We start from the raw sequence: 26096 nt of genomic DNA on the forward strand, positions 1-26096 counted from the left end.
GGATCAAGCGATTCTCCTGCCTCAGCCTCCCGAGTAGTTGGGATTACAAGTGTGTGCCACCACACCCAGCTAATTTTTGTATTTTTAGTAGAGATGGGGTTTCACCATGTTGGCCAGGATGGTCTCAATCACTTGAACTCGTGATTCACCCGCCTCGGCCTCCCAAAGTGCTGGGATTACAGGCGTGAGCCACTGTGCCCGGCCAATAAAGCACATTCATAGTTATATTCATTTTATTTCAGAACCCACTGTGATGTGGACAGGGAAGGCAAGACTATATCTTTATTTTACAGATGTGGAAACTGAGGCTGTGTAAACTGGAGTCATTTAAGCTAAGTGACAGATTGAAATGGAGCTCTAAATCCCCGTCTTCTGACTTATGATCTAATATTTTACATTCAAATAATTTGATAGGTAGATTGAAAGGGACAGAAGCACAGAAGTGGCAGAGAGAAGGTGCTTGGGATGAGCCCCCTTTTATGCTAAATGCCTGGAACATAGAAGCTGCTTGATAGATGGCTCTCTAATTAATTAATGAAGTAACTTAAGCCCCATCTTGGGATAAATTTGCTGGGTACTGAACAATATTGTTAGCTGCAGTTGCAAGCAGGGAGGATATTCAGCTGGGGCACTACAGGGTGGCTGGCATTGGTTGTTTATGGCGCCATTGGTTCTGATTGGTTGGTACCTGTATTTTACAGATAAGCCATTTTAATATTATCTCTGGTAAATATTGAGTGTCTCAGGTATTGCCTGATTTTTACCTATGGGGTGGGATCTTCTCACTTAGATTGAGAACAGTTAGGCTATTGAGGTGTATTAATTTGCTAGGACATAAAAAACACTATAGATAGCATAAACGACAAACATTTATTTTCTCACAGCTCTGGAGTCTGGAAGCCCAAGATCAAGATATTGGCAGGTTTGCTTTCTCCTGAGGCTTCTCTCCTTAGCTTACAGATGGCCACCTTCTCACTGTGGCATAAATGGCCTTTTCTCTACACACATTTTTGCTTTCTCTTCCTCTTTCTCTTCTTTTTCCGTGCTTTTAGAGACAGGGTCTCACTCTGTCACCCAGGCAGGAGTGCAGTGGTGCAGTCATAGTCTGTGGCGGCCTTGAACTCCTGGGCACAAGCAGTCCTGCCACCTCAGTCTCCCAAGTAGCTGGGATGACAGGTGCATGCCACCATGCCTAGCTAATATTTTAATTTTTTGTAGAGACAGGGTCTCACTATGTTGCCCAGGCTGGTCATTGGTCTCTAACTCCTGGGCTCAAGTGATCCTCTTGCTTTGGTGTCCAAATGCTGGGATTACAGGTGAGCACCACCCTGCCTGGCCTCTCTTCTTCTTATGAGAACAACAGTCTTATTGGATTGTGGCCCCACCATTATGACCTCATTTAAACTTAATTACCTTTTTAAAGGACTTATCTCCAAATATAGTCACAATGAGGATTAGAGCGTCAATATAAGAATTTGGGGGAACACACTTCATTGTGTTATATAATAGAATAGATTTCAAAGCATTTTTTTCTTTAGATTTCCAACAAAGTGATAACTAGTACAGTGTGTACATGGCCAGAGGATGGGGTGGAAAACATCTGCTTGGCTTCTATGACCCAAAGTGTCCCAATCTGATTTCTTTTTTTTCACATATTCCACATGCCCTATTTCTTTTTTCCTCTTTCCTGAAGTGGTAATTTACCACCTGTGTGAAAACAACACAATCCCTTACTGCATTTCAAAGGCACAGAAAGTTTCTGGTAATGTGCAGAGTGAGTTAACTAAGACGAGGGGTAGTTTGCCGGGGGTTGGGTGGGATTGGGTAGGGTGTGACCTGGTTTTAAAGAATTAATTTACGTTAATTACATTGGGACTTTGCTCCCTTGTGCTCCTTGCTCTTCCTGGGCCTCAGTTCTTTGCTCTTTCCTTTAGGGAATTCCTGGCTTCCCTTTCTAGGAGCCAAGGTCTTTGGAATAGAGGGTGGTAGGCCAGTCCTTTATCTCTGCTCTGTTCTTCCTGCCACTGAGTGAGGCACAGATGGAAGTCTCACTCTTAGAAAAGAGAAATAAAAGTGATCCCTATAACAGAAAGAGAAGGGCTGGATGTGCTGGTTCATGCCCATAATCCCAGTACTTTGGGAGGCTGAGGTGGGAGGATCACTTGAGCCCAGGAGTTTGAGACCAGCCTGGGCAACATGAAGATACCCCATCTCTAAAAAAATAAAAATAAAAAATAGGCGAATGCGGTGGTGCGTGCCTGTAGTCCTAGCTACTTGGGAGGCAGAGGAAAGAGGATCGCTTGAGCCTAGGAGATTGAGGCTGCAGTGAGCTGAGATTGAGCCACTACACTCCAGCCTGGGTGGCAGAGCGAGACCCTATCTAAAAACAAACAAACAAACAACAACAAAAAAAAAACAGGGAAAAACCCTAAAATGTTTTAATTTCAGTAATTGGAGAAAATGGAAGACCAAAGATTATGGTGATAAGGGGAGTAGATATTTTATTTTATTTTTTGAGATAGGGTCTCACTCTGTCACTCAGACTGGAGTGCAGTGGCTCCATCACAGCTCACTGCAGCCTTGACTTCCTGGGCTCAGGTGATTCTCCTGCCTCAGCCTCCCTAGTAGCTGGGACCACAGATGCCACCACACCTGGCTAATTTTTGTATTTTTTGTAGAGATGAGACTTCACCATGTTGCTCAGGCTGGTCTCAAACTCCTGGGCTCAAGTAATCCTCCTGTCTTGGCTTCCCAAAGTGCTGGGATTACAGGTCTGAGGCACTGTGCCTGGCCAGGGATAGATATTTTTAAAACCGCATATTTAGCTTGTGATCTAGAGAGAATAAGAGATCTCAGTTGAGAGGGCAGGAATAAAATACGTTCCACAAGGCAATACTGAGTGACTTAGAACCTATTCCTGCCACTTTTTTTTAGTTTCCTTGATCTTGCGGGTGGAGGGTAAGTGTGTTACTAAGTATGTTCCTGGACAAGGAGTCCCTCTGAAGATAGAAGTGATGAGAAGATAGAAGAAAAGGTAATAAGGCATTAATGAACTCTAATCACACTAAGATTGATGATCGTCTGGTTCCTGTCTATAGGAATGCTACAGGAACTCTTTTACCCTAAAAGTAAATAATAAAGCACAGTTCCAGTTTCTTTTATGTGGATACAAGGTGGCAGTGACTAGAAAAGATAAGAACAGTGCTGTGCTCTAGCATAAAAACGTAATTATGCTATGCAATATGGTAGCCACTAACCACATGTGACTATCGAGAAGTTACAATGTAATTAGTATGATTAGGTAACTGAATTATTTTTATTATATTTCATCTTAATTAATTTTATTACTTTTAAATAGCCACACATGGCTAGTGCCTTCTGTTTTGAACAGTGTGGGATTCATTGGTATTGATAGGCTGGATATACCTCTAGTTTTTATTTTGATTCAATTTATGGTTAGGTGAGTCTAGAAAGAACAAAAGAGAAAGAGACAATGGAGATTAATCATAATAGCCAGCATTTAATGTGTGCTTATTATATATCCAGGCATTTACCTAAACATGTAAAAGGTATTCTGTATAATCCTTGCAAAAATACTAAGATTATTGCTATTTTACAGATGAAAAAATTGAAGCATAATAAGAATTTTACTTGCCTAGAATCACACGAGTAAATAAGGGGTGAAGATGGCATTCATACACAGGTAGTTTTATTAGAGCCCATTCATTTACACTACATAGATTCAGGAATGAGGTGGCATGGAGTGACTGGGGCCATGGTTCCCAAACTGTGCCAAAGTACAAGCTCACAAGGGTATTGTGGAATATTTTTAATTTTCAGAGGAAACACAGCAATATTTTATATTTCTTAAACACTGTGTGACCTATTAACTTGAGGTGATTCACAGTTGGAACATTAGATTGTGCTACATTCCTTTTGATGACAATATATCTGGCCAGGTGTGGTAGCTCATGCCTATACTCTCAGCACTTTGAGAGGCCGAGGTGGGCAGATCAGTTGAAGTCAGGAGTTCAAGGCCAGCTTGGCCAATATGGCAAAACCCCGTCTCTACTAAAAATACAAAAATTAGCCAGGCATGGTGGCAGGCACCTGTAATCCCAGCTACTCGGGAGGCTGAGGCAAAAGAATGGCTCAAACCCAGGCAGCAGAGATTGCAGTGAGGCAAGATCGTGCTACTGTACTCCAGCCTGGGTTACAGAGTGAAACCCTGTCTCAAAAATATATATATATATAAAGACAACATATCTTTACAAAAGATGGTTTTAGAAGGTCCCTCTGATAAAAATTAAGTATTAAGTAAAAAAAAAAAGTACTGTGTAAAAATCAGCATGGAACAGAAAATGAGGGTGGCAGCATTGGATTCCTGCATGTGAGAAGTTGAGTAGTGCCAAACAGATGTACATATCCCGTAAGTAACTGTTTGTGGTTATTTAAGAACGAAATTTTTTTTTCAATTTGTGTGCATTGTTATTTTCAAAGTGCTAGTAAGTTCTCAGGAACCAGCTACTCACTCTGTTGCCCAGGCTGGAGTGCAATGGTGTGATCTCAGGTCACTGCAACCTCCACCTCCCGGGTTCAAGCCATTCTCCCTGCCTCAGCCTCCCAAGTAGCTGGGATTACAGGCGCCTGCCACCACGCCCAGCTAATTTTTTGTATTTTTAGTACAGATGGGGTTTTGCCTTGTTGGCCAGGCTGGTCTCCGACACCTGACCTCAGGTGATCCACCCACCTCGGCCTCCCAAAGTGCTGGGATTACCGGCGTGAGCCACCGCGCCTGGCCTTTATATATAAATTTTTTTTTAATTTTTTAAATTAAAAATTAAATGTAAATTTAATGTAAAAATGTAAATTAAATGTAAAAATTAAATTGTAAATGTGGGCAGAAGTAATAGTTGTATTCTACCAAAGACACGCTATTTATGTTATATTCTGGTACCCGTGTATTCCGATAACAGAATTTTCTTCGTGGGAGGAGTCCTCTAGTTACCTGAATTGCTTGGATCAATATTGCGCAGATCAAGGGATTATCTGTGTCCCTACCCACCAAATCCATCCTTATCCTTTCTGTCGGCATCTAGGACCCCGGAATTCTTGCCTGAGAACTTTTTCTTCTCCCGGTCTGGGCCTGGATGTGCTCTCCTAAACCCTGTATCCTCCAAGTTAGCACTGTTGCCGGGGGCGACCCAGCTTCCCTTGTCCAGGGAGCAACTCAGACACAGTCTCGCTTCATTTTTATTCTGGGGTTGTACAATCTAAGGTATGAAATTTTTCCTTTTTGAATCTCTCACGGTTTGCTATTGACACAGCTGGAATGAGGTTGCAAGGAGAGGGCTGGGGGCTCTCCTCCCTACTTCTAGCCCTATTTCCGCATAGGCCTTCTTGCTGGGAACTCCTGCCCTGCGGACTGGAATGGGTACCGAGATGAAATGCTGGGTGCGCTCCGGCTCCCCCCGCCCGCCCCGGGGCAGAAGGTTTAGGGCTGGGAAGAACTCTGATTAGGTTTACAGCCCAGGTTCAGCCGATTGAATTAGGGTGTGTCACCATGGAGACAGGGCCGGCCCGCGTGCTCGCTTGCCATTGGCTGGGGACTCCAGGGCAAGGGATATAAGCCAGAGCCTAGACCAGTGAGCCAACTGTGCGAACCAGACCCGGCAGCCTTGCTCAGTTCAGCATAGCGGAGCGGATCCGATCGGATCGGAGCGGATCGGAGCACACCGGAGCAGGCTCATCGAGAAGGCGTCTGCGAGACCATGGAGAACGGGTGAGGAGGGCACCAGGCCCGCAGGACCCTTGGGGAGGGGCAGGTGCTGTGACCCGGGAACCTGGCACACTGGGCCCAGAGGGAGCTGGCGGAGGGAGCGAGCGCCCAGGGGATGCAGAGAGGCCTGGCACTGAGCCTAGTGTCGGGAGCAAGGCGGCAGAGTCATGCGGCAGCCAGCGCGGGCAGGGACGCACGCGGGAATCGAGCTGGGGTGGCGCCACCGGAGCAGGAAGGGGACAGGTCGGTGCGGTCTAAGCTACTCCGTAAAAGCAGCCGTTGTGTGTCTCCGTGTGTGTGTTAGGGGAACAAGTGGAGAGTGAGTATATGTATATATCCCTCACTCCATACCAGGAGGAGGTCTCCTCACCCCCTGCGCTCTTCATAAATTCCCATGCTAGGGTCTGGGTAAAGCTGCGAGGTACTTTTGGTGCTCAAATTCGGAGTTCCTCCTTTAGAGGCAAGATTACTCACCTCCTTTGCCAGTTGCACTCCTCCCTTCCTTCCAGACTGGCAGTATGATTAACTCGGTGGGAAGTGACTGCTAAGTGGAGACGGAAATCAGTCACCGAACTGAGCAACAGTCCTGTGCTCACTTCCCCCACCCCACGCCTTTGAAAACTCTTCTCTCGGCTTGGGTCCTGGATATCCCAGTCCAAGTGACCTGCATTAGGCATCACAGTTGCTTTTGGATGCCCAGGGAGCCAGGGTGTTCTTGAGGGGACTGATAGCCAATGAGGAAGTGCTGTGAGATGTGGCTAGACATGCCATGTGGCGGCAGCTTCACACATTCATTTCCTTTGCACCTTTTGGGGATGCCATTTGATTAACATTTTACCAGCTTAATTGCTTCTCTCCATTGTCCTGTGGCTCCGTTGACCAGCCCCCAACCTACCTGATCCAACTGCTTCCCTGAGGGTAGCCTGGTGTATTGTGCAATCATGTCTGGTTTCCCGGGCTCTGCTTTCCAAGTAAAAAATTTCCTGTGAAAGCTTGGTTAGTTGTGTTCAGCTCTGTCACACCTCATTGCCACCTCTGAAAGCAACGTTTGGTCTTCCCAGATGGATGTGAGAGAACTGGACTTGGAACTGGGAGAAAAGTAACACGGGTTGATTCTTGCTAGTGTAGGGGTTCTGGGTAAGTGCCCTGAGGTTTCTGAAGAGCAAAGATCCTCGGTGGAGAGAAAGGAAACTGGGAGGAGGCAGGGAGGGGGAAGGACAGGAAGAAGACCACAGGCAGGTGGAAAGCAGGAGAAAGATTCAAATACTTTGTGTAACAGAGCCATAGGTCTTTGGAAGTTGTTAGCAAGTATTCAATTCATTTTCAGATTGAGCCTATAAGATAGATGGGGCCAATTTACATCCCTTGTTTATACCTGAGAAAATAATTTAAAGCACAAATTACATGCCTAAAAAGACAATATTGGGACTAGAATCTAGGTCGAATTCTGCTTCCCTCCAGACCAGCAATTCCTAAACCTGGTTTTATTTTATTTTATTTTTATTTATTTATTTTGGAGTCGGAGTCTCGCTCTGTCTCCCAGGCTGGAGTTCAGTGGAGCGATCTTGGCTCACTGCAACCTCTGCCTCCCGGGTTCACACCATTCTACTGCCTCAGCCTCCCGTGTAGCTAGGACTACAGGGGCCCGCCACCACGCCCGGCTAATTTTTTTTTTTTTTTTTTTTTTTTTGTATTTTTAGTAGAGACGGGGTTTCAACATGTTAGCCAGGATGGTCTCGATCTCCTGACCTCGTGATCCGCCCACCTCGGCCTCCCAAAGTGCTGGGGTTACAGGCATGAGCCACCGCGCCCAGCCCCTAAACCTGGTTTTAAAATCAAAATTACATGGGCTTCAGAATCTGTTTTTTGTGGGGGTTTTGTGTGTGTGTGTGTGTGTGTTTTTTATAGGGTCTCACTCTGTCACCAGGCTGGAGTGCCAGAATCTGTTTTTCTAACAAGCTTCTGCTGAGAATTTGTGTAGTCAGTCCTGGTTTAACCTTTGACAACCAGTACTGTGGACTGGGTCTGCTTTTTTGTACAGCAGTTTATCTAGTTTTTTGTCTGGAATTAACCCCCTTGTGATCCAGGGAGCTAAGAATGGCACGTAGACCTCTACCAGGGGTGGTCCCATTGTGTTTTATTGGTTAAAACAAAAAAGAAATGTAGCCCTTAAGTCTTTGGCTGAGGAAGGAACTGGAGGAATGAGGGTTCAAAAGGAAATTTGAGTTTATCTCTGCCTTCATAGTAGTTGGTCTTAATTACATTTTGAATGTCTTTGGGGAACAGGTAAGGTAATAAGGGGGATTTTACTAGGTGGGCACCACCCTCAGGAAGGGCTTAATCCCATTTTGAGTACTCTTCTTGGGCTCCCTCCTGGCCAAGCCCTTTTACCCTCCCTAATTTGATTATTTCCTTGCACTTCCCCGTACACTCTGGCCCCTTCCTCTCTAAACCTTTGTCATAAGGATAAGTATGCAGCTTGCCAGTGTTCAGTGGATCCAACACTGGAGTTGGGCCTGTTAGTAGAAACAGGCTTTATTAACTTTTGCCAGGCTCTAGAATGGAGGTAGTTTCATATCAGACTTGTAGTGGGCTTGATTCAGAAAGAAGGGTGGCTGAGTAGATGGAAGAGCATAGTATGGCCTTTCCCTCTGTGCCAGCTTCTCCGTCCCTGCTGCCTCAGTATACCTGCCAGCCTTTTTGCACCGAAGGTCATTTGTCTGTGATGCCCTTGGAATGGGAGCAGAATTCACCTTGATATTTTTTCTCCCCCAGATACACCTATGAAGATTATAAGAACACTGCAGAATGGCTTCTGTCTCACACTAAGCACCGACCTCAAGTTGCAATAATCTGTGGTTCTGGATTAGGAGGTCTGACTGATAAATTAACTCAGGCCCAGATCTTTGACTACGGTGAAATCCCCAACTTTCCCCGAAGTACAGGTACTGGCAAGGGAAAGTGGGGAATGGGACTGAGGGATGTTCTTGGAATTCTGTGGAACACAACCAAGGAGGCCAATGTTTCTACTCCTTGACCTAGCATTTCACTGAAGACAAATGTTGTAAGAGAGGAGAAAAGCCCACCATGAGTCAGAGTGACTTTAGGAGATGCCTCTAGCAGACATCCCATAAGAGACAGGACATGTGTGTGTCAGTGGACTGAGGCTAAGACTCAGAAGAGGGCCAGGTGACAGGGGCCAAGTAAAGGGCAAGGGTTGTTTATTTGGTTTACGTAATTTCTCAAATAACTAACTTCTGTTGGTTTATTTATTAATTTTTAAGATTTCTATCTTCTTTTCCCTGGAGAGTTAAGAATTTTTTTTTAAGACCTGTCAGCAGGAAAAGACCTTTAATAGCTATTTTTTTAAACTCTTTAACACAAGACTGGAAGAGCAGAGGGAGAAGGTGAGGGAAATATTAACAGAGGGTGTGTGAAGGGCATACTTCTCTAAGGGAGATAGTAGTGACGCTGGCTCCACTGGCCACTCCTACCCCCAGTGAGAAGGGCACTGCATTAAATGATAAGTGGGTTAGTTTTTTTAAGCTTATCAACATGTTTATTTTTTATACTCCACTTGGGTTTCCTTTGTCAACTTTATTACTGTTTTTGTTTTGTTTTTTTGCATAAGCTCCTCTATCTTTGAGAATTTCTCAGCTCTTCCTCTTGGTTCTAGTCCCTCTCCCATTCCCTAAGGGATAGGTTGGCCGTCTATTAGAAGTGACTGCCAGATAAAAGAAATGGTAATAATGGCTGTTATGTCTGTGGGGAGTTATCTTTGCACTCCCACGCACCCCTCCGTGGGCATGTGTTCCCATAGGACTGTTCCGTGGGTCATAAGGAAAGAGACACTTGCATGCGTTCAAATTCTTTCCCCCTTGTTCAGTAGCCTCTTCTTTAAGAAGCCAGAGTAAGTATACTATGAGCTTGCTTGCTGGACTGAGGAGGCAGGTAATTAAGTTAGGGCAATAGATAAGAATACATGTTTTGAGAACTTTGAAAAATTTGAAGAGGTCTATAATTACTGCATTCACTGTACTCACTTTATTTTGAAACAGAGTCTCGCTCTGTCACCCAGGCTCGAGTGTAGTGTTGTGATCTCGGCTCACTGCAACCTCCACCTCCCAAGTTCAAGAGATTCTCCCACCTCAGCCTCCCGAGTAGCTGGGATTACAGGCATGTGCCACCACACCTGGCTAATTTTTGTATTTTTAGTAGAGATGAGGTTTCACCATGTTGGCCAGGGTGGTCTTGAACTCCTGGCCTGTTGATCCGCCTGTCTTGGGCTCCCGAAGTGCTGGGACTACAGGTGTGAGACACCGCACCTGGCCTATTTTTAATTTTAATTTTTATAGATTTACAGGGGTACAATGCAGTTTTGTTATATGGATATACTGCGTGGTGGTGACGTCTGTGCTTTAGTGTAACCATCACCTGAGCAGTGAACATTGTACTTATTAGGTAATTTCTCATCCCTCATCCCCATCCCACTTTCTCACCTTTCCGAGTCCCCAGTGTCTATTATTTCACTCTGTAGGTCCATATGTACACATTTGGTTCCCACTTATAAGTGAGAACATGTAGTATTTAATCTTCCATTTCTGAGTATCTACTTTTTTTGCTCACTTTTTACTCTCTGGCAGTATGGCTTGTATTATCTTGAAATTTCTTTAAAAAGCCCTTCCTTCTTTGTGTGTTCATGCTGAACATGCTGAACGCACCCCATATCTCTAATCTTGGGTTGTATTTGTATAATTATTAGTAATGCCTGGCTCTCTCACCAGACTTAAACTTTCTGAAAGCAGAGATAATAATGAGTCTTTTACTTAATTACAACCTAACATTTTGAGCAGAGCGAGTAACTCACAGTAGGTGCTTAATGGATATGTGTTGCATGAAAATATAATCCCATTCATTTCTCTTTCTGTTTTGTATACAGTGCCAGGTCATGCTGGCCGACTGGTGTTTGGGTTCCTGAATGGCAGGGCCTGTGTGATGATGCAGGGCAGGTTCCACATGTATGAAGGGTACCCACTCTGGAAGGTAAGTCAGAGGGATAGGTCCGGTTGGATCTGGAAGAGGCAGGAGAGAACTATCTAGCCTCTTTCACTACCTAGCTATCTGGGCTAGGTGGATTTTTGGTCCTCTCCTTCCTTTTCTTTCACGATGTATGTCATGCATTTCAGTGTAGCTGAATTAATGAAATTTTGTAAATTTTTTTCGGATTGTTTGCTTCGAAGGTGACATTCCCAGTGAGGGTTTTCCACCTTCTGGGTGTGGACACCCTGGTAGTCACCAATGCAGCAGGAGGGCTGAACCCCAAGTTTGAGGTTGGAGATATCATGCTGATCCGTGACCATATCAACCTACCTGGTTTCAGTGGTCAGAACCCTCTCAGAGGGCCCAATGATGAAAGGTATGTATGTTACTCCGTTTTTTTTAGGTGGGTAGGATTTAAAGACTTCTCTAGGAGCTGTGGGAGAATTTTTAAAATTCCGTTTATGTGAGATAATTCAACCTGTGTCCTAGGTTTGGAGATCGTTTCCCTGCCATGTCTGATGCCTACGACCGGACTATGAGGCAGAGGGCTCTCAGTACCTGGAAACAAATGGGGGAGCAACGTGAGCTACAGGAAGGCACCTATGTGATGGTGGCAGGCCCCAGCTTTGAGACTGTGGCAGAATGTCGTGTGCTGCAGAAGCTGGGAGCAGACGCTGTTGGTGAGAAGGGGAATTTGGCTGGAAGCTTGAAGAGGGAGGGGTTTAGCAAAATGGGAAGGGGAAGGAGTAGGAAATAACAGGCCTCATTGGACTGAGAGGATCTGATTTCAGGGAAGGGTGAATTAAACTGACTTATTGAAATACAAACTGGTGAGATTTGGTGTAGCATCAAATCTCCCTACGAAGCACCAAGGGGTTAACAGCTGCAGTGCTAATGAATGATCTATCCATGATTTGATGACTGTTTTTTGAGACGGAATGTCGCTGTGTTGCCCAGGCTGGAGTGCAGTGGCATGATCTCGGCTCACTGCAACCTCCGCCTCCCGGGTTCAAGCAATTCTCATGCCTCAGCCTTCCGAGTAGCTGGGATTACAGACGTGTGCCACCACGCCCGGTTAATTTTTGTATTTTTAGTAGAGACAAGGTTTCACCATGTTGGCCAGGCTGGTCCTTGAACTCGCGACCTCAGGTAATCCGCCCATCTTGGCCTCCTAAAGTGCTGGCATTACAGGCGCGACGCACTGTGCCTGGCCAATGTGATGACTGTTTCTAAGAATTCTAAAAAATTCACTATAGCCACCTTCTGTACCTCTAGCTGGAAGATGGAACTCTATCATTAGGATTGAGTTCAAAATTGCCACAAATATAGAAATGAAGGATTGTATTGGTAATTTTAAGAAATGTGTATTTATTTTAGGCAATACAGAAGATAATTTAGCTGCTTCTTTGGATTTGTTTTAGGTGGGGCCTTGCTCTGTTGCCAAGGTTGGAGTGCAGTGGCACCATCTCTAGCTCACTACAGTTCTGACTGCCTGGGCTCAAACAATCCTCCCACCTCAGCCTCCTGAGTAACGGGGACCACAGGCGTACACTACCACACCTGGCTAATTTTATTTATTTTTTGAGCCGAGGTCTCTTTATGTTGCCCAGGCTGGTCTCAAACTCCCGGGCTCAAGACATCCTCCTGCCTTGGCCTCCCAATGTACTGGGATTACAGGTGTGAACCACTGCACCCGGCCATCTTTGGATGTTTTTTGAGATTTTTAATTCTTGTTGAAAGCGAGGCTAAAGGGCAAGGAAAAGAGTTATTTGAGGATCCTGACAGTTGGTTTCCATCTTTCTCACTATCAGGCATGAGTACAGTACCAGAAGTTATCGTTGCACGGCACTGTGGACTTCGAGTCTTTGGCTTCTCACTCATCACTAACAAGGTCATCATGGATTATGAAAGCCTGGAGAAGGCCAACCATGAAGAAGTCTTAGCAGCTGGCAAACAAGCTGCACAGAAATTGGAACAGTTTGTCTCCATTCTTATGGCCAGCATTCCACTCCCTGACAAAGCCAGTTGACCTGCCTTGGAGTCGTCTGGCATCTCCCACACAAGACCCAAGTAGCTGCTACCTTCTTTGGCCCCTTGCTGGAGTCATGTGCCTCTGTCCTTAGGTTGTAGCAGAAAGGAAAAGATTCCTGTCCTTCACCTTTCCCACTTTCTTCTACCAGACCCTTCTGGTGCCAGATCCTCTTCTCAAAGCTGGGATTACAGGTGTGAGCATAGTGAGACCTTGGCGCTACAAAATAAAGCTGTTCTCATTCCTGTTCTTTCTTACACAAGAGCTGGAGCCCGTGCCCTACCACACATCTGTGGAGATGCCCAGGATTTGACTCGGGCCTTAGAACTTTGCATAGCAGCTGCTACTAGCTCTTTGAGATAATACATTCCGAGGGGCTCAGTTCTGCCTTATCTAAATCACCAGAGACCAAACAAGGACTAATCCAATACCTCTTGGATTTTATTTAATGTCATAATGTTGTCAGAATAAAGAGAAAGATGAAATAATTTCATTTTTTTGTGTAACTTGGTATGGGGCTGGGGCACAGACCAAGATTGACATGAAAGGATGTGAGATCGCATGTCTTGTGTGACTATCTGCTTCTCAGACAAGCAGTTAGGAACTGAGATGAGATAGTATGTGAGGGCAGCAAAGGATGAAGAAGGGCAAAATGATGAAAGGTGAGGTGGAAAGAGGTTATGAGATGGTAAAGAAAAGTTAACTTCTGGCACTTGATTGCCACTTCTGTCAGGCTGGTCCTGCCTCTCTCCCTTGCCTTCTGATTGTTTCATTTCCTGTTTATTTGATCATATCTGAATTAGTTCACTGGTTAGCCTCTTCCTTAGTTCCCACTTCCTTACCAAAGCCCTAATTATATTTCCTCTTGTTTGCCTTTTCTCTCCTACTCTTCTCTAACATCTGCAGCCACACTCTCCATTCACTCCATGCTGACAAGGCAGTGGCAAACACTTTTCTCTGCTGCCAGCCACTCCACTGTTGACTGGATTGCTGCCAGCCCCAGGCAAACCTGTGAAGTTGTTTCATACTCTGCTTCTCTTTGAGTGCCTCCTTCTCTCCTTCCTCTTCCTTTCTGGGCTCCAGTCTTTCTCTTCACTTGTGCTTGTCAGAACCTCCCTGTGATACTGCCTCCAGGCATTTCCCCCATGTTGGCTCACCGCACTATTATCTTTGCTTATCAACTTGCATTCAGCTGGCTGGCATGTTTCAAAACCACACTGCCCTCCCAGGCCTGTGTGCCTTTTGAGAAAGACCAGTGCTGGATGAGCCTCTAGTAATGACAACATTTTAGTTGTTAGTGGTATAATACGGAAGAGATATTTTGCACAGGCTGCTTTGGAGAACTTTCAAATTATCCTTTGTTTGGTAACTGACCTACTTAACTGCCCAATACAAAGAAAAAGCATCTTGGAGTGGCTCTGTCTCCTTTTTTTTTTTTTTTTTTTTTTTTGATACAGGGTCTCACTGTCACCCAGGCTGCAGTGCAGTGCTGTGATCTCAGTTCACTGCAACCTCCGTCTCTCAGGCTAAAGTGATCCTCTCACCTCAGCCTCCAGAGTAGCTGGGACCACAGGTGTATGCAACCACACCTGGCTAATTTTTGTATTTTTTAGTAGAAATGGAGTTTCATCATGTTACTGAGGCTGGTCTCGAACTCCTGGCTTCAAGCAATCCTCCTGCTTCAGCCTACCAAGGTGCTAGGATTACAGGAGTAAGCCATCGTGCCTGGCCTTGCCCTACAATCTTAAGATTCATTTACAAAGCCACTGTTGTATAAAGCTTGTACAAAATGAGTACAAGTCACACGTGGGAGCTCAAAGGAGGGATTGATTGTATACACCGAACAGTGTGAATTGGGTAGATTAGGGAAAGCTTTTTTTCCTTTTTTTCTTTTGCTTAAAGTGATGGATACTTAATATTAGGTAAAGTTTTATAGAAAACTTTGAGCCTAGTCTTGAAGGATGAAGCAGGGGAAGAGGATTTCACATCAGGATGAGGCAAAGCAGAGCTGCAAAAAGTACTAGGCATGTTCGTGAGTCGTTGTCACAACTGGTGGGACTAGATCAGGACATGGAAGGCTCCGGTGAGACAGGCAGAAAGGTAATTGGTTTGAGGAGGGCTGCATTTGGCACTTGGCTTTCCTACCCCCAGTCTCCCTCTTGGTCAGATTGACCAGGAATCACAATGGGGCCATCTGAAAAATATGTCCTAGAGATACTTGAGTGGAATATTTAAGAGTGGAATATGTAAGCTTTTTAGACTTAGTAAGTAGATTTACTAAATTCATATTTATTTATATGAAGACATAATGTCTTCAGTTTCTTTTTTAAAAAACAGCTGTATTGAGATAAAATTTACGTACCATAGAATTCACCCATTTAAGGTGTGTGATTCAATGGTCTTTAGTGTATTCACAAATAAGTGCAATTATTGCCAGTTAATCTGAGATCATTTCATCACTTCAAAGGGAAACGTTATCTGCTCCCCCATAGCCCCAAACAGCCATTTATCTACCTTCTGTGCCTATAGATTTAACTATGTTGGACTTTCACACAAATGGAATTGGACTTTTGTGGCTGGCTTCTTTCACTTAGCATAATGTTTTCAAGATGCATCCAAGTTGTAGCATGTATCAGTACTTAATTCTTTTTTGAGGCCAAATAATATTCTATTGCATGGATACACCACATTTTGTTGATCGAGTGTCTGATTTTAAAAAGCCAACCAGTCCAGCCAAAACCGAACGTATCAGTTTAGGATTGTAGGATACGAGCACAAAGTGAAGGGAAGTAGGTGTGGGAGGGCTTTCCAGAGAAAAGACATTCTTGAAAAAAACTGGCGATGATACCATTCATTTCTGGAGGGGCCTGCAGAATGCCTGCAAAATAGATTGATTTTACTGAGTCTCATGGTAGGTGTCCAAACACATTGAAGTCAGGCTTGCTTTCTTGACCCTATCATGACCATCTTTATTAGCATCAATAAATATTCATTAATCATGTATTATGTAGAGAACATTGTCCTAAAAACCAAAATGTAAGTTGGTATAAGATGAAGTGTCTACAGTCTAGATGTGAGACAAGATGTATGCATAAAAAGAAATAACTAGGCTGAGTTATTTGAGCCCTTTATAGCTGCTAAAGACTTTTACTAATCTCTTCATATGTTATATTGTCATTGTTTAGAATCAGCTTTTTCGACTGAACTGAGGAAGAGGGCCTAATTTTTTACAAAAGGAGTACAGTAATGTGTGAAAAGTAGCGTATGCTAAGTGTCAATGATGGTATGTGCTACAGGAATTGAGAGAAGAGGACCATCACCGGAGCTGGGGAGTAGGAAAGGATTGATGAGACATTATTTAGGCCTTACAGAAATGCCAGGCACAGTGGCTCATGCCTATAATCACACATACTAGGTGGGAGATTCACTTGAACGCAGGAGTTTGAAGCTGCAGTGGGCTTTATGATTGCGGAACTGCACTCTAGCCTAAGTGAGAGAGTAAGACTCCATCTTTGAAAAAAAAAAAAGATAGGTGAAGAGGACATGGCAGAAGCCATTACATACAGATGAATCCAGGAATGTTTAATCATTGAACAAACTGAAATGCTTAAAGTGAAGAAATAAATGGGAAGATGGGCAGCAAGCTGGAGAGGAGCTCTGATTCCAGGCTCAAGAGTAGGACCTTAGGGCCAGGTGCGGTGGCTCACGCCTATATCCCAGCACTTTGGGAGGCCAAGGTGGGCGGATCACTTGAGCCCAGGAGTTCAAGACCAAGTTCGAGACCAGCCTGGGCAATATGGGGAAACCTCGTCTCTACAAAAATTACAAAAATTATCTGAGCATGATGGTGGTTGCCTGTGGTCCCAGCTACTTGGGAGGCTGAGGTGGGAGGATTGCTTGAGTCGGGGAGGCTGAGCCTTCAGTGAGCCATGATGGAGCCACTGCGCTCCAGCCTGAGCAACAGAGTGAGACCCTGTCTCTCAAAAGCAAAACAAAATGAAAGAGTAAGACCTTATTTTCTAGGCAAGATGGCCAGCCATTGACAGTTTTTAAACGAAGGACTGGTAGATAAAAATTGCACTGTAGTATTTTGGTGGCTAGAAGCCTGACTAAAAGAGAGGCTTGTTTTGATAGTAGAATTACTTTCACCCAAAATTAACTGTACAGAATAGCACAATGGTTGGTGTTAAGTATTTAATTTTTAGTCAGGTTGGGGTCTTCTGTAGTGTTTTAAAGAATAAATTAGCCGGGCACAGTGGCTCATGCCTGTAATCCCGGCACTTTGGGAGGCCAAGACAGGAGGACTGCTTGAGTTCAGGAGTTTGAGACCAGCCTAGGCAACATAGTGAGACCTTGTTTCTACAAAAAATTTAAAAATTAGCTGGGCATGGTGGTGCACACCTGTAGTCCCAGCTATTCGGGAGGCTGAGGTGGGAGGCTGGCTCAAGCCTGGGAGATCGAGGCTGTAGTGACCCATGATCATACCACTGCACTCCAGCCTAGGTGACAGAGCAAGACTCTGTCACACACACACACACACACACACACACACAAAAGGAATAAGCTGTTATAAAATAGAATGTAGAGGCAAAAGTGCAAACAACTTAGAGATGAAAATATACACTTAAGTCAATAGTTTCCCCTTCTTTTTAATATAAAATTGTGAATAGGTATATAATCACATAGTTCAAAAATTAAGCAACATAAAATGTGTATAGTGAGAACTCTCACCCCTATCCTGTCCTCATATGCCCTTCCTTCCCCACCCACTGGTGACCACTGTTATTAGTTTCTTTTGCATTCTTCCAGGATCTATACAAATATAAACAAATACAAATTCTATTTTTCTTCTCTTATTATAAACAGCAGTTAGTATGTTATATATACTTTCTGTATCTTGCTATTTTATTTTAACATATCTTGGAGATCTTTTCACATCAATGAATTAGTGTGCCTTCTTGATGACTTACATCAATGCTGCCAAGGATATATGTCTGTCACCTCCAGTTTTTTAGAAGCAAAGGGAGAATATGGTCTTAATTTTTTTTGCCACTTCTCAGTTCGTTTGTTGATTACTAATAGGAATAGACACAAAGAGGTAATGCCACCTGCTGCTCCTTTAAAGCAAGAAGTTGGGAAGAAGAGAGCTATTCATTCTGTGCTGTGCCTTCTGCCTAATTCAATTTGGCTTAGATTTGTGTTGCCTTTTTTTTCTTGTAAATAGGCCCCTGATTTTCATAATAATGTTTTGTTTCTCAGGGATGCCTTCGAACAAACACTGGTTATCTGCTTGGTTTTTCTGTTACTGTAAATTTGGATTTTAATAAAAATAAAATTTTCCTGTCTTTAATCATTTTGTCTAATTTTTAGTTTTGGCTTAAATTAGATGTGATATTCTTTTGGATTAATCTGAATTTGCTCTGTTGTTTTCGGGTCAAAGAACCCCTACCCCTCCATCGGGCTTTTACTTTCACGTCCATTCTGAGTTTGTTTGTTCATTGTAGAAAGCTTTTACTTTGTCTCACTTGCCAATCTTTTTTTTTTTCTTGTTCTCTTCTTCTTTTTGCTGTTACTCTTTTTAAAACACCATTTCACTTGTTAGCTACTTGACTTTGGCCTTGGTTTTCCCTTTTCCTCTTTATTTTGAACTGTTTCTATCTGAGCTCCTGTTGTAATTTATAATAAAAAGTTAGTAGAATATAGTACTTCTCTTGTGTAGCCTGACCTGATCTAGTTCTATCAACTGTTCTTTTACCAATCAGAGGTTGTTTAAGATCAATTCCAGTTCACAGTATTAATCTTTATTATTACCTGCTTGTGTCGTCTCCCCCAAAATAATAATACATAGCTACCACCATTGTCACTGTTCCACTAATGTCATCAAAGTATGAAAATTATTTAATTGCAGTAAGGGATAAGTAGTTGTTTTTCATACGGTTGTTTTCGCAGTGGGAAAGCTCTCACTCTGGACATCATAGATAAGATGTTACGGAGTCAGTAAAGTCCCTGAAAAGCAAAACTGAGTCATGCCTGAAATTTTTTAGGCAGGTGATGGACATTAGATTTCCTTGGATGCTTACTTTGCCAATTTCCTCTCCCCGTCACAAATAGAAACTACTAGTATTAAAAAAGACAGAATTATGGTAAGAGTAATTTTGGATATTTTCTGTCACTCTGCCATTCTTTATGGCTGTGCAGCTTCTTAACTATTTTTTATCTACTGACTCTTCACTTCAGGATACACCCTATGGCTGTTAGCTGGTCTGTCAAAGATCCAGGAAACTGATCCCTGCTTCAGTTCCACAATACCGAGTTCAGGAATGTTCTCAGACCAGGATATACTGTCTGAGAGAGATGCCTTAGAGAACCAAACTGTTCTCTAAGACCGGGCAATAGTGCTGTCATTATATAACCCTTACACACATGAGATACCTCTGCCCAAGGAGGGGCTCTAGGCAGATTCACACTTGTTTATGAGCACAGATAGGCTGGACCAAGAGAGACTAAATTTCTGCAGAGTCTTCTCACCCATTTAGGAGTTTTCAGTAATAACGCACACACTTTTAGTGAAGATGTTGGAGTGAAGATATGCTTCTGTCTGAATTGGAAAATGTGTTCACTTTTTTGACTGAGCTGAATTTATGCTGTGCTCTTTGGATAAATAACCTTGTTTGATTTATTCAAGTGACATTGTGTCAGGTCTTGCTATCAATCTGCACCTAGTATTGACATTTGTAAATGTAATGGCCATTCAGTTTCTAGATAACCATAACATTTACTTGACAACTCTGTATTGCGCTTACGCTCATTCATTTTTTTTTCTGCATTTGCTTTGAACTTTGTCCTTTTGATAATCAGATGTATTAAGCCTCATATAGAAATGCCAGGATGTGTGTGTGTGTGTGTGTGTGCATATACATCTGCAAACATATGTGTACATATATACATGTATGCAAAATCCAAAATTGACAACTTATAAACTGTCATCTGCCCATGCAAACTTGAAGAAGCTGAGCTTTTCAGCTTTTCAATATCCCAGACAGGGCACCTATCAAGTGTATCTTTCTAGGCTGCTGAACAAGAAGAGATGAACACATGAGAAGGATATGTTTATTTACTTACTCAACAAACGTTCTAGGGGTTAGGGATATGGAGAAGAACAAGACAATGTTTCTGCCTTCATGGTATTTACATTAAATTAGGGGAGTGCGACAACCAATAAACAGAAATGTTTTTAAAAACCTAAGGTAATAATAAGTGTTAAGAAAAAAATAAAGAGGATAGAAGGTAATAGAGGAAGGAAAGGCAAATTAAAACTACAATGAGATACCACTTCACACTCACTAAAATGACTATAATAAATAAGACACACATTAACAAATGTTGGTAAGGACGCAGAAAAACAAGAATCTTTTTAAATTGTGGAATTTCCACTTTCTGGTGGAAATGTAAAATAGTGTAGCCAGTTGGAAAACAGTTTGTCAGTTTCTCAGAAGGCAAAGCACAAAACTACCATATGACCCATCATTTCTACTTGTAGCTGTTTACCTAAGAGAATTAAGATCATAACCACACAAACACACACAAATGTCCACAGCAACTTTTAAAATAATAAGGACTGGAAACATCCCAAATGCCCATCAACTGGTAAATGGATTGTTTAAAAAATGTATATCTAGGCTGGGTGTGGTGGCTTGTGCCTGTTATCCCAGCACTTTGGGAGGCTGGGGCGGGTGGATGACTTGAGGCCAGGAGTACAAGACCAGCCTGGCCAACATAGCAAAACCCTGTCTCTACTAAAAATAAAAAATTAGCCAGGCATGGTGGCATGCACCTGTAATCCCAGCTACTCTGGGGCCGAAGCATGAGAATCACTTGAACCAGGGAGATGGAGGCTGCAGTGAGCTGAGATCATGCCACTGCACTCCAGCCTGGGCAATAGAACGAGACTCCTGTCTTAAAAAAAAAAAGAGAGAAAGAAAAAATGTAAATCTATACAATGGTATACTATTCATTAATAAAAAAGAACAAACTACTGACACATGCTATGTCATGGGTGAACCTCAAAAACATGCTAAATAAAATAATCCAGATACAAATCTGTATTATGTGATTCTATTTATATGAAATATCCAGAAAAATTTCTAGAGACAGAAAGTAGATTAATGGTTTTCTGGGGCTTAGTGTTGAGATGGGGATTAATATAATGGGCATAGAGATCTTATTTAAGGGATAAAAATGTTCCAAAACTGATCTACGTGATTGTTGCAACACTAAATAAAATGATAACAATCATTGAATTTTGCACTTGAAACGAGTGAGTTTTATGATACGTGAAATACAGCTCACTAAGGCTGTTCTGTTTGTTTGTTTGGTTGGTTGGTTGGTTTTTTTTTGAGATGGAATTTTGCTTTCGTTGCCCAGGCCGGAGTGCAATGGCGCTATCTCTGCTCACCGCAACCTCCGCCTCCTGGGTTTGAGCGGTTCTCCTGCCTCAGCCTCCCAAGTAGCTGGGATTACAAGCATGCACCACCATGCCTGGCTAATTTTGTAGTTTTAGTAGAGACAGGGTTTCTCCGTGTTGGTCAGGCTGGTGTTCAACTCCCGACCTTAGGTGATACACCCCCTTGGCCTCCCAAAGTGCTGGGATTACAGGCGTGAGCCACTGCGCCCAGCCAAGGCAGTTTTTTTTAAAAAAAAAGTGATAAAAGGGTGAGTGATTTCAAATAGGTTGGTTCAGGGAAGGCCTCTCCAAGGAGCTGTCAGTTGAGCAGAGACCTGAGTAAATGAGGGCGTGAATGATGCAGTGATTAGAGATGAGTGTGCAAGCAAACATACAAGTTCTTAGGGAACTTAACAATTTAGCAGTAACAGAAGGCCAGTGCTATTAGAGTAGACTGAACAAGGGGAATGGTGATGGTAGATAAGGCTGGAGATGAAGGCAGGTGTTGTAGGTCATGATAAGTTTAGGTTTTATTTTGAGCATGAAAGAAGGTCACTGAAATGATTTTTAACCAATTTACTTTTTTTTAAAAAAAAAAAAAAAAAAACCTCACTGGCTGCTTTGTAGAAAATCAGTAGTATTAAGCAAAAATAGGGTGATTGGTTAGGAGACCTCAGAGGTAGATTAGGGTAAAAGGTGGTTTAGGCTGGAACCAGTGGTGGTAATGGAGGTGCTAACGATACAGGAACTAGAAGAAATTATTAGGTAGATGATGAGGGCAAGAGTCCTTAGCAAGGTTTCCCTTTTTAACTAAAAGCAGCCCCCGAGTCATTTCTTTTCTAACAAAGAGTGGCCTGAAAAATCGAGCTGCAGACAGAGATAAGCAAGCTGGAAGTTTGCACAGGTGAATGCCGGCCGCTGTGCCAACAGAAAAGGGCTGCCTGAGGGCCAGGCATGTTCAACATGGAGGCTCCATCTTCCCTTTTCTTAGTCACCACGTGCACAGTAAAGAACCAGGCAATATGGCAATGGCCAAGTAAAAAACCCATCCGCATAATAAAAGATTAGGGTGGGGCAGCCAGCTTCTTTGAGTGCTATGCAAATGGCATACCTGGTCCAACCAATCTTTCGAGCCCTGTGTAAATCAGACACCGCCTCCTCAAGCTTATCTATAAAACTTCCTGCATTTCACTGTGGAAGTGGCAATCCATTTTCCCCAGGACCCCTCTCTGCACAGAGAGCTCTTCTCTTTCTTTCGCCTATTAAACCTCCGCTTTTAACCTTACTTCTTGTGTGTCCACATCCTTGATTTCCTTGGCATGAGGCAGCAAACCTCAGGTATTACCTTAGATGAATGATGCTGCTTCAGTAAGAAGAGGTTGGATTCTGGAGATATTTGAAGGTAGAGCAGATAGGACTTACCTATATTTACATAGATATAAGGAAATATATATATATAGAGAGAGATATATATATAGAAATATATATATTTCTATATATCTACATATAGAAAAAAATATATATTTCTATATATCTATATATATATTTCTATATATCTATATATAAAAAATATATATTTCTATATATCTATATATATAGAATAAGACTTACCTTATTTCTATAGATATATAGAAAATAAAATATGAGTAAAAAATAGGAATTTAGAAAGGTTCCTAAGTTTTCAGCTTGACCTGCTGGGTGAATGGAGTTGCCATCTACCAAGACACCGCTAACAGAGGAGCAGTTTTGGCATGGTAATCAAAAGTTTCTTTTAAGGCTGTCACGTTTGAAAAGCTAGACCTCCAGATGGACATGTGGATTACACAGTTGGGTATATGAGTTTGGAGTCCAAGGGAAGAGGTTTAAGCTAGATAAATACATTTGGAAGTCATTAGCACATAGGTGGTGTTTAAACCAAATTATCTGGACGATATCACTTGGGGACAGAAGTCAGGAGAAGGAGAAGGATCTAGCAAATGTGTTTGAGGAGACATTAATGAGGTAGAAGGAAAACCAAGAAGTAGGATGCCTTGGAGGGCAAGTGAAGAAAGCGTTTTAACACAAGAGACTGATCGAGGTCACTGCTCACCTTGACGAGCAGTCTCAGCGGGGTAACAAAGATGATATCTTTATTAGAGCGGACACCAGAAAGAATGAGAGGTGAGGAAATAGAGGCAGCAAGTGCAAACCATGAAATTTTGCTATAAAGGGAAGTGGTAGCTGGGGGAAAGGATGTGGGTTCAGGAGAAGGTTTTTTCCTTTTTTTTTAAATGATGGGAGGCATTTTGAACTGGAAAGAAGCCAACTGGGACTTGGGTGTGATCTGAAGAAGAGAAGATGGCCTGTACCATAGTCTGAGAGTTAAATGGCACCTTTATTGATTATTGATATAATACCCTATGGCTTGCTTATAGTACAGTTACACCTGTGTTGTGTGATAGGGAGCCTTGCCAGTGGAAGCAAATTGGTCTAAGATAGAAGCTTGGTTTTGACTTGATAGCTGCCCATAAGAGGGCAGCAGAGCAGAGCTAGGAAATTAAAAACAACAACAACAATAATAACAACAACAAAGAAAAACTCTGCAAGGTGATCCCTGCAGGGTAAAGACTTTTTAGCAAACTCTTTAAAGATATTAAAGAAAGTTCAGCCCTTCCTCCCCAGAGCCTCAGTGCTAGATTCTTGCTTAGAGACCCCAAAGGCTCCAGACTTGGGAATACAACTGGTAACATGGCAGACTATGAGCCCTGCAGGGGAGGGAGCAACTGTAAAGCTGATTGAGTGTAAAAGAATGGCTAGTACAGAAGGAAGATGTAGCTGTTATATCGAAGCATTAAAAACAAACAAACAACAAACTAGGCCAGGTGGGGGCCGGGCACAGTGGCTCACGCCTGTAATCCCAGCACTTTGGGAGGCTGAGGTGGGAGGATCACTTGAGGCCAGGAGTTTGAGACCGACCTGAGCAACATAGCAAGACCCTGTTTCTAAAAAAAAAAAAAAAAAAAAAAAAAAATTTACAAGCTGATTGTGATGGCACACACCTGTAGTCTCAGCTACTTGGGAGTCTGAGGCAGGAGGATCACTTGAGCCCAGGAACTCCAGGTTACAGTGAGCAATGATCATGCCACTGCTCTCCAGCTTGGGTGATAAAGCGAGACCCTATCCCTCTCTAAAAAACAAGACAAAACAATAACAATAAAACAAATTAGTCTGGACCATTGTCATTATGAACAGACTATTTTTTCAAAGTAATCACTGCAATTTACTATCATTCCATAAAAGCCATTGATGCTGAATTCCAATGTGTGTGGCTAAATTTTACCAAAAAAACCTAGTATAGAAGGACTTAATTTATGCTGGGAGGAAGGGAGACACTCATGCTGAGATTGGACCTTTAATGTGAATATTCACAGCAGGTAATATGTACATAGTGCTTTATAGTTTACAAAATATTTTACATTTTTTGGTCCTTTTTAGTTGTGATAATTACTGAGACCCTTGAGCAAGTATCATTGATATTTTTCTCATTTTCATTTTTCTGATTTAAAAAGGCTTAGAGAAAGGTTATCTGACTTTTCCAATACCACACAGCAAAGGAATAGCTAAGCTATTCCTTCAGGCTCAGAACTTTTGTCACCATAGCATTAGATCTACATAAAGAGATGGGGATGGAGAATGTGTAAAAAGGCATCACGTTTAGGTTGAATGAAAAGCCAGAGAGTAGTTAAGTTTGGTGGTAAACAGAAGATGAAAGGAGGTAGTGAAGAACTGTCTTCTATTAATATTATTATTATGATTTTTTTAAGAGATAGAATCTTGATCTGTTACCCAGGCTCTGTGGAATGCACTAGTATGATCATAGCTCTCTGCATCCTTGAACTCCAAGGCTCAAGCAATCCTCTTGCCTCAAACTCCTGAGTAGCTGGGACTACAGGCACATATCACCACACCCAGCTGATTAAAAAAAATTTTTTTTGTAGAAACAAAGTCTTGCTATGTTGCCCAGGCTGGTCTCGAATTCCTGGCCTCAAGTGATCCTAGCACCTCGGCCTCCTAAAGTATTGGGATTACAGGCATGAGCCAACGTACCTGGCCTTATATTATTTTTAAACTTATTTATATAGAAGAATCAAATTTACTCTGTGCAACTTTGGAGAGTTGACTAGGACAGGAGAGCCCACTCAATATTAGAAAAAGAGCTCTACAAAAAAGACATTGTTACGTTACATTCCTGAAATGTTGAAATAGGGGCTAGAGGAATATTTGACAAAGCTGTAGAGAGAAATAGTTGACCTTATGACCTCTAAAATTCTTTTCAAGATATTTTATCTGCAAAAACCTGAATAGCAACAACTATAGTTCCACAACACTCTAGTTCTACAGAAGGAGGGTGGGATGTTACACTGTGCTTTCATGTTTCAATAATTATATATCTATCCATGCATGTCCACTTCTGCTTGATGCCACTGAAGTGGGACCTGAGGAGCTGGGGTGCTAGGGCAGAAAGAGTAAGGTCTGTGCCCGATCCTAGACAAAAGTGGAAGCAATTCACTGCTTCATCCATCACGGAAGGGCAACTCTTTAGCTTAGCAAACTGAGAAATTTTCAGGCTCAACACCAGCAGGAATTCAATTTGCAGCAAGATAGACCTCAGGGGATTGAGGCAATGATTCAGAGAGGATGGGTGGGGTAGGGTTACACAGGAACTTTAGAGAAAGAATCGTTTGTGGGTGGAAGCCTTGGGCAGAGGTGCACTCAGTAGAGAAGAAAGCCATTTGTTCCAGAACAGCAGTTTGAAAGGGGTGTGT

The 26096-nt window shown here is 42.7% G+C and overlaps 1 protein-coding gene across 1 annotated transcript, besides 5 other annotated features; it reads left to right on the top strand.

Annotated features, from left to right (window-relative positions):
• Nucleotides 5420–5924: an enhancer, noted in NCBI's record as "H3K27ac-H3K4me1 hESC enhancer chr14:20937332-20937836 (GRCh37/hg19 assembly coordinates)". NCBI's record gives its function as "activates a minimal SCP1, AML or CMV promoter by ChIP-STARR-seq in naive H9 embryonic stem cells {active_cell/tissue: H9 hESC(naive)}" and the evidence as "EXISTENCE:reporter gene assay evidence [ECO:0000049][PMID:30033119]".
• Nucleotides 5585–5704: a silencer, noted in NCBI's record as "silent region_5566". NCBI's record gives its function as "represses an Ori minimal core promoter by ATAC-STARR-seq in GM12878 lymphoblastoid cells {active_cell/tissue: GM12878}" and the evidence as "EXISTENCE:reporter gene assay evidence [ECO:0000049][PMID:35858748]".
• Nucleotides 5653–13336, top strand: PNP (purine nucleoside phosphorylase). The gene is made up of 6 exons (NM_000270.4): nt 5653–5782; nt 8555–8724; nt 10719–10822; nt 11020–11195; nt 11309–11499; nt 12631–13336. Exons 1-6 carry the CDS (start codon nt 5772–5774, stop codon nt 12846–12848), a joined length of 870 nt encoding a protein of 289 aa, NP_000261.2. The 5' UTR covers nt 5653–5771; the 3' UTR covers nt 12849–13336.
• Nucleotides 6115–6184: an enhancer, noted in NCBI's record as "active region_8078". NCBI's record gives its function as "activates an Ori minimal core promoter by ATAC-STARR-seq in GM12878 lymphoblastoid cells {active_cell/tissue: GM12878}" and the evidence as "EXISTENCE:reporter gene assay evidence [ECO:0000049][PMID:35858748]".
• Nucleotides 6215–6344: an enhancer, noted in NCBI's record as "active region_8079". NCBI's record gives its function as "activates an Ori minimal core promoter by ATAC-STARR-seq in GM12878 lymphoblastoid cells {active_cell/tissue: GM12878}" and the evidence as "EXISTENCE:reporter gene assay evidence [ECO:0000049][PMID:35858748]".
• Nucleotides 13929–14117: a silencer, noted in NCBI's record as "fragment chr14:20945841-20946029 (GRCh37/hg19 assembly coordinates)". NCBI's record gives its function as "represses an EF-1alpha promoter that drives an FKBP-Casp9 reporter gene in an ReSE screen in K562 erythroleukemia cells {active_cell/tissue: K562}" and the evidence as "EXISTENCE:reporter gene assay evidence [ECO:0000049][PMID:32094911]".

This window comes from Homo sapiens, chromosome 14 (assembly GCF_000001405.40).
Source record: "Homo sapiens chromosome 14, GRCh38.p14 Primary Assembly".
NCBI classification, from domain to species: domain Eukaryota; kingdom Metazoa; phylum Chordata; class Mammalia; order Primates; family Hominidae; genus Homo; species Homo sapiens.